The sequence below is a fragment of the Homo sapiens genome, chromosome X, assembly GCF_000001405.40.
Source record: "Homo sapiens chromosome X, GRCh38.p14 Primary Assembly".
Lineage (NCBI taxonomy): Eukaryota > Metazoa > Chordata > Mammalia > Primates > Hominidae > Homo > Homo sapiens.
Genome location: NC_000023.11, coordinates 89,444,174 through 89,456,979, shown reverse-complemented (window position 1 = coordinate 89,456,979; position 12,806 = coordinate 89,444,174). Strand labels below are relative to the sequence as shown.

Sequence of the window (12,806 nt, the reverse complement as noted above, 5' to 3'; positions counted from 1 at the left end):
TCGTGGGAGAATTCAACCTTCAATATATCAAAGTACATTATAAAGTTATTGTATTTGTCAGGGTTTACCAGAGAAACAGAACCAAGTATGAGCTAGTTGATAATGATGATAACGATAGATAGATAGATAGATAGATAGATAGATAGATAGATAGATGATAGATAGATATAGATAGATGATAGATAATAAATAGAGACAGAAAGAAAAGAAAATCAATTATAGAAAATTTCTTCATGCAATAATGAAGGTTGAGAAGTTCCATGATCTGTTGTGTGCAATCTGGAGACCCAGAAAAGCCAATGACATAATTCACTCTGAGTCAAAGACCTGAAAACCAGGGAAGCTGAATCCCAGTTCGAGAGCCTTAGAAGATGAGATAAGATGCCCCAGCTTAAGTAGGCAGAGAGGAAGAAAATGAAAAAGTGAATTCCTCCTTCCAGGAATTAAAATGTTAATTTAACACTCAAACACCCTCATGACCACACCAAGAAATTATATTTAATTTGGTCACCTCATAGCTCATCAAGTTGACACATAAAATTAACCATCACAATTACTTATATGTAACATAGAGAGTAGTAGTAACATAGGGATAGATCCATTAGGAAAAGACGGACTGATTATTCAATAAATTGTTATCACACACTCAGATATCCTTATGGAAAAATCATTCAAAATCCAAATTTTATAAGATTAATAAAAATCAACTTTGAATATATTATGGATTTAGATATAGGTGACTTTTAATCATTTAGCCATTGTATCATCAACTTCAGAAACATTTCTGCCAATTTTTAAGTCATTTTTATAGGCTCATTACCAATAATTCGCTGAAGCAAACTACCTATTTATATACACCCTGGGTTTCATTGTATATGTTAATTCATTCACAATAGTAATAAATAAGTTTCATTTATATCTACTACCATGTCACCCAGCTGTATACTCTTTTCTCCACCAGCTTCTGTGGCTCTTGCTCTCTATCACATAATTACATTACTAGCTTATAAGTGTTCATCCAGCACTCACAGGCCCCAGAGGCCTGCTGCTTAAAAGAGGTACTAGTTACCCATAGGACCTATAGCAATGGTATCAGAACGGTTTCTACCTCCACCACTGTGGTCTCCATCCATGGGAGAAGATCCCAATAAACAGTAATCTGGGCCAGGCGTGGTGGCTCACACCTGTAATCCCAGCACTTTGGGAGGCCGAGGTGGGCGGATCACTTGAGGTCAGTAGTTTGAGACCAGCCTGGCCAACATGGCAAAACCCCGTCTCTACTAAAAATACAAAAATTAGCCAGGCACAGTGGTGTGCAGCTGTAATCCCAGCTACTTGGGAGGCTGAGGCAGGAGAATTGCTTGAACCCAGGAGGTGGAGGTTGCAGTGAGCAGAGATGGTGCCACTGCACTCCAGCCTGGGTGACACAGTAAGACTCCATCTCAAAAATAAAAACAAAAACAAAAACAAACCAGTAATCTGGCACTGATCATGTAGAACACTGAATACAATACTGTATATATTCCCCCATGCCCCCAAAGCAGCATTGATGTTCTATTTGCCATATACATCACACCTGACCTACCTACTCTGCTCACCTCTGGGGTTCTGTTGAGGTTCTGATTTTTATGTTTTAAATGTATATCTGTCTTCACAACTATGGAAGCATAATTAAACTTTTGAAAAAATGTACTTACCAATGAAACAGAACAGGATGTTTTAAAAGTTAAAATGACACTCCAGCCTGGGCGACAAGAACGAAACTACGTCTCCAAAAAAAAAAAAAAGTTAAAACAAAGTAAGTAAAAGGCAAAACTTTAGAACTTTCAGAAGAAAATATAGAGATATCTTTATGCTTTTGGGAGTAGAGATGGATTTCATGAGCTAGACCCATAAGAAAATGCTGCAACTGACTATATTACATTAAATAATTATTTTTATTATAAACACCATAAAAGGAGACAAAAATGACAATTCACAAAGCGGGTGAAAATATTTGCAATATTTATCACTTAAAAAGTCATCCCTATAAATTATATAATACCTGAAAATCAAAAAGAAAGGGACAACATACATAATTTTTGGAAAAAATAACAAAAACAGGAAAAGGAGTTACATAAAATAGGAAAAAAAGGTGCAAATATATACCTGAAATAATGCTGGAACTACTACTAATTAGAGAAATGTAAATCAAATCTACAAAGAAATATTTTAGCATGTTCAAAAGTCAGCCATAAAAATTATAAGTTTTAAGATGTCAGGTACACACCTTGACATGTATAGATTAAAGGAAACTGCTATAGACTCTTCATAAAAATGTAACTTGTACAAACAACTTAGCAAACAAATTGGAATTATCTTGTAAAGCTTAAAATTGAGGAATCTTACTCTCAGGTGAATATCTCAAAAATGTGTGTCTGTTTGCAAGTGACGTGTACACAAATGGTCAGGAGACCATTTGTATAATAATCAAAACCTGAAAACAACCCAAATGATGATCAATCAGAGAATAGATAAATACATTGTAGTACATGCACACAATGAATTTTACTACCACAGTAATATTAATGGGGCTCATGCATCAATCTAGATAAATGTTAGAAGCACAATGAAAACCACAAATCATAAAATTGTATACAATTTTAAAATGGTAAGCTGAAGTAAATTTTCCAAAATAAGGTCCATAGATTCATCTATAAAGTGAGGATATATACAAAATTTTGGATAGTCATTATTTTAACAATAAGAGGCATGGCTAGAGCCATGTAAGCTTAGAAACTTGCATGTTATTGTTGTATAGGAATGCTACTGATTTTTGCACATTGATTTTGCATCCTGACACTTTGATGAAGTTGTTTATCAGATCAAGGAGTTCTTGGGCAGAGACTATGGGATTTTCAAGGTATAGAATTATATCATTGGTAAAAAGGGATAGTACGACTTTTTCTCTTCCTATTTGGATGGATTTTCTTTATTTCTCTTGCCTGAATGCTCTGACCTGGACATCCAGTATTATGGTAAATAGGAGTGGTGAGATTGGGCATCCTCGTCTTGTTCCGGTTTTCATGGGGAGTGCTTCTAGCCTTTGCCCATTCAGTACGATGTTTGCTATAGGCTTGTCATAGATGGTTCTTATTATTTTAGAGTATGTTTCTTCAATGCCCAGTTTGTTGAGGGTTGTTAACATGAAGAGATGTTAAATTTTGTCAAAAGTCTTTACTGCATCTGTGGAGATAATCATGTGATTTTTGTTTTTTTAGTACTGCTTATGTGGTGAATATCATTTATTGATTTGCATATGTTGAACAAACCATGCATCCTAGGGATAAAGCTTACTTGATTATGGTGTATTAGCTTTTTTATGTGCTGCTGGATTTGGTTTGCTAGTATTCTGCTGAGGATTTTTGCGTCAATGTTCATCAAGGATATTTGCCTGAAGTTTTTTTTTTGCTGTGTCTCTACCAGGTTTTGGTATCAGGATGATGCTGGTCTCAAAGAATGAGTTAGGGAGGAGTATCTCGTTCTCAATTTTTTGGAATAGTTTTAGTAGAAATGGTACCAGTTTATTTACATACACACACACACACACACACACACAGATATACACATCTTGTAGAATTATGCTGTGAATCCATCTGGTCCTGAGCATTTTCTTGTTGATAGGCTTTTTACTACTGATTCAATTTTGGAAATAATTATTGGTTTGCTCAGGGATTCAATTATTTCCTGCTTCAATCTTGAGAAGTCGTAGGGTTCCAGGAATTTATCCATTTCTTCTAAGTTTTCTAGTTTGTGTGCATAGAGGTGTTCACAGTAGTGTCAGGGTTTTTCGGGTTTTTTTTGTTTTTGTTTTTGTTTTGTATTTCTGTGGGGTCAGTGATAATGTCCCCTTTGTCATTTCCGACTGCATTTGTTTTAATATTTCTCTATTTATTTACTAGTCTAGCTAGCAGCCTATTTTATTAATTCTTTCAAAGAACCAACTCCTAGATTCGTTGATTTGTTGGTATGGTTTTTGTGTCTTAATTTTCTTCAGTTCAGCTCTGATTTTGAGTATTTCTGGTCTTCTGTTAGCTTTGGGGTTGGTTTGCTCTCATTTCTCTAGTTCCTCAAATGGTGATGCTCGGTTGCTCATCTGATATCTTTCTAACTTTTTGATGTGGGCATTTAGTGTCATAAACTTCCTTCTTAACACTGCTTAACGGGGTCCCAGGGATTCTGGTATGTTGTACCTTTGCGTTAGTTTCAAAGAACTTCTTGGTTTCTCCTTTAATTTCATTATTTATCCAAAAGTCATTTAGGAACATGTTGTTTAATTTCCATGTAATTGCGTAGTTTTTAGTGATTTTTTTTTCAGGCTTGACTTCTATTTTTATTGCACTGTGATCCAAGAGTCTGTTTGGTATAATTTCAGTTATTTTGCATTTGCTGAATATTGTTTTATGCCCAATTATGTGGTCAATTTTTGAGTATGTGCCACGTGGCAATGAGAAGAATGTATATCCTGGTTTCGGCTAGAGAGTTCTGTAAAGGTCTATCAGATCCATTTTGTCCATTGTTGAGCTTAGGTCTTGAATATCTTTGTTAATTTTTTGCTTCTATGATCTGTCTAATGCTATCAGTAGAATGTTGAAGTCTCTCACTATTATTGTGTCGCAGTCTAAGTTTGTAGGTCTCTAAGAACTTGCTTTATGAATCTGGGTGCCACTGTTTTGGGTGCATATATATTTAGGATAGTTAGGCCTTCTTGTTGAATTGAGCCCTTTAGTGCTATGTAATACTCTCCTTTGTCTTTTTTGATCTTTGTGGGTTTACAGTCTGTTTTATCTGAAATTAGGATTGCAACCCCTGCTTTTTTCTGTTTCCCATTTTCATTCTCCCCAGCAAAGCTTTTGGACAGGAAAACTGACCTAATTTCTGACTGTTCCCTCCCAGTGTCACTTGTCCACATTATGCCATGCTCTCTGGCAGCTGTGTTTCCATACAGCTCTTATGGAAATTACATTTAGTTTTTTAAAATATAAAATAGAATAGAAAATATAAGTGAGGCTAGAGCTGAATTTGAGTAAATGTTTTTATCTACACAATTCATATTACAGTGCAGGAAAATTCAATGGCCTATCACATAATAAAGTTAACAAATTTAACTGAATCATCCAGATAATTCTGGGTAAGGTATTTGTCTCTTATCTTCAAATGCTACTAAAAAGTAGAAATAACTATTATACTTTTAACTAATAAATTTAAAAATTATAAATGACTGAAATTAGGGTAAAAGGAACTTTTGCATCTCACATGTAATGATCTAGGAGGATAGTACAATGTATGTATCACAATGAAGGGCATTCTGTGCAAAAATTAAGAGAAATGAATGGGAGAGTCTACCATCCCCACTTCCTTTCAGGGGGAATATATAATGAGTTGAATAAATCTTAGGAGATCATATACAATCTTAATATCACAGATTGGATGGAATGATAAGGTGACCAAGGTGTTGCCGTGTGCTGTGTGTGGAAATCTGCACTTTATTATCAAACGTCAATTGATGTACATGGTGCAAAACGAGGTGTGATTTTTCTTCCATTAGAGCAACTTAATTATGTTCATTTTTTAAAAGGTATATATATACTTTCAATACAATATTATCTGGGAGAAGCCATTCATTCAGATCTTTGTATTATTATAATATTATAGTTATAACTAATTATAATGATAACCTTTCCACATCTAGAATTATTCATTTATTCAATTTGTCAGGAAGATATTAATATAATAGTTCTAACCTGGCAGATATGTATGATATACATTCATGCATGTACACACATACCTATATCTATGTTTATATTGATATACAGTTATAAATATATACAGATGACCTCTACTTAACTATGGTTCAACTTATGATTTTTTGCCTTTGTGATGGGTTTATTGGGGTGTGACCTCATTGTAAGTCAAGGAACAGCTGAACTTATGATAGTTCAACTTATTATTTTTTTTTTTACTAACAATGTGTTTACTGGGGTATTAAATGCATTGTGATTTCCAAAATTTTTGAGTTATTATGAGTTTATCAGGGCATAAATCTATCATAAATCAAGGAGCATCTGTATATGTGCAAAATATGCTGAAAGTTACTACATCAGTGAGGATTTAAAAACATATCTTTCAGTAATTGATGGGTGAAACAGGTAAAAATTGTGATTAAGAATATTTGGGTAACATATAGTAAGAATGATCAAATGAGTATACATAGAACACTATACCAAAGAACTGACGAATATACAGTTTCAAGAAACAGGAAACATTCATGAAAATCAACAATATAATAGGAAGTAGAGCAATTCTCAGTGGTTTTCCAATATTAATTTCATACACATAATAATCTCTAACTGCAATGTTATTAATTTTTAAATAATACAAAGATAACTCACAATATCATAAGCTTGGAAATTTAAAAATACTTTTCTACATAAATTAATGCTAAATAAAAAATCCCAGTGGGGAATAAGTGATCTTTAGAATTGAAGAAAATAAAATAATATTACATATCAATAATCATGAGATGCATTTAATGCAAAAAGTGAAATATTTCTGATATTACAAGCTTAAATTTGAACAATTCTTACAGATTATTTTTAACTGAAGTCAATCCTGAAATTTTAAATGGAAGTACAGTCAAGGAACCAAAGGCCAAAGAGCCAAGTGTAACCCAGAAGAAATAAGATATGAAAATTTGCTACAGCAGTGATTAAAATTTACTATCAAACAATTGCAATTAACACTGCATGGTGTGAGTGCAAGGATTGAAAGCTAATAACACGTTAGAGAGTCAGGAAATACACCTGCAAAAATATGAACACCAGATATTGTATAGAGGTAAAAGTATAGACTAGTCAGTCAGTGGCCCTGAGATAAGTATTTATCCAGAAACTATAAAGCAAGCAAAATAGTGTATCCGTCATGACATATGCAAAAGTTAATTTCCAGTATATCAGAGACTTAAATATGAAAGGCAAATTTAAATAATTTTTTCAGGAATATAAATGGAGGTATTTTTCTGATATATAGATAATTTTTAAGAGAAATAACATACTTAAGTAAAAGAAACTAGTAAGTATTGATAAATTAATCTATTTTGAATTGTGGACTTTTCATCATCAAAAGATGCCATAAAAATAATTTTCACTCTGAGAGCAGATCTTTGCAACATAAAAAACCAGTGTAGGATTAATGTCCATAACATATTAAGAAATTCATATAAACCAAAATGTCAAACCACCCAATTAAACTGCAGGCAAAAGATGCAAACAAGTATTTTATGGAAGAGAAAATCTGAATAGCAATAACATATAAAGGTGATCATCTTGTAACCGACGCAGTCATTCCATTTTGGAAACAAATAACTATTCTTTCTTTTACAATACCTAACTGTGTGCTTGCTTAAGAATTCCAAGAACTAACCCCAAGATAAAACCAAGGCTGTGAAATGTTCTTAATGGAAAAAAAATGCTGAGCAGTTAATCTTCAATCTTATTAGAGGTTGGATGATGCCAGCTACACCTCTTGATGCCCATTCCTCATGATAGTCGTTGGAAAAAGACATTCTGAAATGCATAGCTAACTCCTGTACATAGTTTCCCAAGCCCTTTCCCCTTTAAAACCCCTATGTCCAGGCTGAGAAACTTGAGATGGTCTTTGCTATGCAAGTCCACCATCTCCTTGGATTGTCAGCTCCTGAATAAACCTGCTTTTCTCTTCCACCAACGCTTGCCTCTCAAGTTTTGGCTTTCAATTGGCAAACAACTGAACCTGAGTTCAGTTACAATCTCATTACTAATCAGGAAATTAAAAACACTGCGTAATACATATACAATCTGATTTAAAGTATTACTCAATCATGTGAAGCCAAGGGAGCTATGGAAATGTAAAATGTTACAACTGTTCTAAAAAGCAAGTTAGAAATATCTTGGCAAAGCAGAATTTCCAAACAGCTGATGCTTAAACAACTCCATATCCAAATATGTACATTAAAGAATAAATATTCAAACTGATGTATGCTATAATGTACCTCAGGGGTAAACTCAGACAGATCTTCAGTTTCTATACATATTTCCTCCAAATATTGACCTCACTGAGAAGTCCCTGTTTCCGCTTTTGCAAGTCCTCAGTCATAGCTGCCAATCTCCAGTTTAACAAAATAAAGGTAGCCATTTCTCCTATCTGGAACATTACAATAGTACATTAGAGTGTACCAATCTGTAGAGCATCCTACAAGGAAACAGTATGAGCATACAAAGTTTCTGAGGAAGATTTTTATTGTGAAAGCAAACTAAAAAGATGTGTAAAAAATATTGCCTTTATTTCACCTAAGTACAAAACTACTATCAAAAATTTTTGTCTGTTTCAATCAATCACTCTATCAATCATCTATTTATCTGCATACTGTATCTACCTAGGAATCTTTAAAAATGAGATGTTTAATGGGCATCTTAAGCTTTATTGGAGTTCAAAAGTGAAATTATTCTTATTGGTAATGCAAGTAATTTTTGGCTGATTCTCAGCGTGGGAACTGTTTTGCCAATTAGAGTATATAGTAGACATTTTCCCAAATTGTATGAGATAAAGCTATAGCTTTAAGGGTTTGAGGAAAACACATTTTTAAGACACATTTATAGTATGCTAGAAATTAAATATTTTTGCAATTCTTTTACATAAAAATATTTAGACACCAACCCAAACATATGTGAAGTGGACATAGTTTTTTTCAGTTGTATTAAAGAAAAAAGTTTGAAGATTGCTGCTGAAGAGATACTCCCATGTTCAATAGAAAATGTGCACATAATGTTCATAGCATCATTATTTGTAACATCAAAAAAATAGAAGCAACCAAAATAACCACTAGCCAGGGGATACATCGATATAATTGTGCTATTTTCATATGGTAGAGAACTGCAGAGCAGTGAAAATAAATAACCTACATATATATCAAGAATATGGATGAATGTATCTTGCAGATATTGTTGAGTAAACTAATAAGAAAATCAAGAATGTTATATATGCTGATTCCAGGAAAGTTGCTCTTTCCAGGGTTGTTGAAGGGAATGAGATTCATGAAAGTAAATGAAATGTTTCAAGACTATGAATAATCATCTATTTTTTAAAAAATAGTATGATTGTTAAATGGTTGTAGGTTTTATGATCCTTTTAAATGGTTAAAACTACATATGATTTTATGTGTCACATACATATCAACACACACACATACGTATATCATATACCACACACAAACACACACACAGACACACACAGAGCCATATATAAAGATAAAACTTTCTACCAGAAAAGTAACCTCTGAAAATTTTAAAGATACTTGAAAGTATTATGTACATATATACTATGGTCAATGTGAAAAGGCATTCTGTTATTTTAAATCTGAAGGCACAGCTTAAATCATGTTTTTATTTTATTTAATTCAGAAAAAGTAACTAGTTTTTGAAATTGCTATATTTGGTTTGATGCGAAAAAAATAAGTGGGAACAGATGCAAGTAGTGTCTGTGGTGAAATCACTCAGAAAGAGTGAGCAAAATATGTTTAACATTCTTCTGAGAAAGGGAATGCCAAAATAATTCTGTCACATGGCTCTCAATTTTTAAAGATGGTAAAATATGACTATTCATTAGGAAGAATAGGGTTTCTAAATCTGGAGATTATTGGCATTTTGAGTTAGATAATTATTTGTGGTGGGGGGCTGACCTATGCATTGTAGGACCTTTCACAGCATCCATGGCATCTGCCTACTAACATCATCCACGCAGTTTTGACCATTGAATATGTCTCCATAAATAACACGTCTTCTGGAGAATAGGGGTGTGTAAAATCACCATAGTTAAAAAGCCCTGATCTAGTGTTAGGGAAATAATGGGATACACACACACACACACACACACACACACACACACACACACACACATATATATTCATATTTTCCATATAAATATTCTGAATATAAATATACGTATTTTTAATATATTCCAATTAATATATCAGTTGAATATAAATATACATTGAATTACCATTGTTTATGACTGCTGTTGAGAATGCCACTGGGAATCAAGCTTTTGAAAGTCATGTAGGCAACATGTAACAACAGTCTTAATCTATATCTCTTGTTCCAGAAATTCAACTTTCAGAAAGGAAGAAATAATAAATCATTAATAGCAAATGTTGATGTCAATCTAAATCTCCATAATAGAAAAACTGTTAAACTGATCATTGGTAAAGACAAACAGTAGAAAACTAAACAATATTTTAGCTAATTACACTTAAAGACATGAAAATAACATATAATGTACAAAAGTCTCTTTTGCCATGCTAGGTGACATATTCACAGGTTTTGGGGATTAGATTGTGGGCATCTTTTGAGAGCATTATTCTGTCTACTACACAAACCCAGAACTCATCACTATCCTACAAGGTAAAAACTTGAACATTAAAGCAAATATTACAACTCAACTTCGGCTCTTTGAGGCAGAGACCAGAACTAAATGCTTATTTAATAAAAAGTGCACCCGGATGTGATTTTGTTAAAAGTAATTAAAATGACAGAAAACATACCTTACAAAACATGAACAGAAAATAAAATCCAAAAGAAGATAGCAAAAACATCAAAAAGTATAATGGCTATTTGTCATGCTTATAAATCAATAATAGAAGTTTTGTATGATTAGTATTGCTTTAAGAGTAGTTATGTTATGCAAAATTATTTGTTATAAAAGGAGCTCTTCTGTATAACTTTCATTGTCTTTTAACAGAGCATACACATTTGCTTTTTGCTTTGTTACACTACTTGAATAGTGTCTTCAGATAGCTCTAAGAAAAATGGTTATCAAAAAAAAGAAGCTACACTATTAAGAAGCAGTAGTCACTACAGAAAATATTATTAGCTCCTTTTGCTTTAAGAGAAAATACTATATTGAATTTGTGTAAATGAGACAATTTTCTATGTTGGCACATATTTAACACTAATCTATCTCTAAGGTACAGTAGTCTTCCATTACCCTTGTTTTCACTTTCTGGGGTTTCAGTTACCCACCATCAACTGCAGTGTGAACATATTACATACAATAAGATATTTTCAGATAAATAAGATATTTTGAGAGAGAGAGAAAGAGAGAGAGAGAACTACATTCACATAACTTTAATTACAGTATATTATATTATTATGACTTCTATTTTATCAGTTAGTGTTAATATCTTATTGCGTCTAATTTATAAATTAAATATCATCATAGATGTGTGCACAGGAAAAAACATACTACATATAGGGTTCAGTATTAACAGTAGTTTCAGGCATCCACTAGGTATTTTGGAACCTATCCCCCACAGATAAGCAGGACCACTATCATATTTTCCTCTGAAATCATTTTTGATAAATTCTATAACTTGTTTTTATCTATATCTTTTTTATATCCTCAAAGCTCCTTTAGTTTTCATTAAAAGCTTGCCAATTGCTTGATTTGCCACATAATTCTGAAAGATCACACTCATGACTGTGTCAAGGCTTAGAAAGTACTACATTGAAAAAATGACACCTTGGTTGTGACTCTCTGATCTCGCTTCTCCCCTAATGATCCTCATGGAACAGGGGTCCTGCTCCATACTCTAGGGGAAGAAATATCATACAGAGATGCAGGAAATAATCTGAACAAACAGTCCTTGCTGAAGTTTATCTCAGTTTATATAATGTCATTAGATTATACTCTTTTTTTCCTAATCATGTTTTTTCACAACTATCGACTTTTTTCTTCATACTCAGCATAAAAATACACCATTTTCTCTAGGTTTTTTGGTTTGCATTGATTTATGAAGGCTCTCATGTCACATAAAACTTTGGTTAAATAAATAAATGATGATTTTCTCTTGTTAATCTGTCTTTTGTTATAGGGGTGTTGGCTATGAACACCCTTGTGATGGGAGAGGAAAACATATCACTTTTTTCTCCCCTACAGCAGGTGGTCAATCTTTCCTTCAATTCTTCTCTAATATTTTAAAAGTAGGGTTTGTGTATCTTTAAGAGCCTATCTCTCTGGATGCCTACAAAAACAAGATATGGTATACGGTTTAAGCATGTTTTTTTTTTTTTTTTTTTTCTCAAGATAGACAGTCATTCTGAGGGGAGAGAGACAAAAATACTGAACATGAGTCCAATTATTTTAATGTTTAGCTCCCTAATATAATTGCATTGTTTGTAGCACAAAGGATAAATGCTTGAGTCGAAGGAAACCCCATTTACCCTGATGTGATTATTATGCATTTTTGCATGCCTGTATCAAAATATCCCATGTGACCCATAAATATATATACCTACCATGTATTCACAAAAATTAAAAATAAACACAATTTAAAATACAAAACAAAATAAAACATTGGACATTTAGAAAGAAATAAAGACAAGGGATAAAAAAACTCTGGTGATAATCAAATCACTGGCCATCCTTTGTTTTTTTTCTCCTTCCATATTTTTATTATTTTATAAGGTCCCTGGGATTCTTCCAGTACACTTTGATTTGTGCTTAATTTCATTTTCTGTAACTCACAATCAAGAGTCATTGAAAATAGAAGAGAAAAACCAGTGGACACCTGTGATAGTTAATTTTAGTTGTTGACTGGATTGAAGGATGCCTAGATGACTAATAAAACATTGTTTCTGGATTTGTCTGTAAGGGTGTTTTTGGAGAAGAACTGGTATGTGAGCCAGTCAACTAAGTGGGGAAATTCCACCCTCAACATGGGCAAACACCATCCA

The 12,806-nt window shown here is 33.0% G+C and overlaps 1 long non-coding RNA gene across 2 annotated transcripts in view; it reads right to left on the bottom strand.

The window, feature by feature from the left end:
- Nucleotides 1-1,725: 1,725 nt before the first annotated feature.
- The window catches only part of LOC102724150 (uncharacterized), a 52,126-nt gene continuing 41,045 nt past the window's right edge, over nt 1,726-12,806 (bottom strand). For both annotated transcript variants that reach the window (XR_001755912.1, XR_938461.2), the window contains one exon: nt 1,726-1,763. This is a non-coding gene — a long non-coding RNA (uncharacterized LOC102724150). The remainder of the gene's footprint in view (nt 1,764-12,806) is intronic.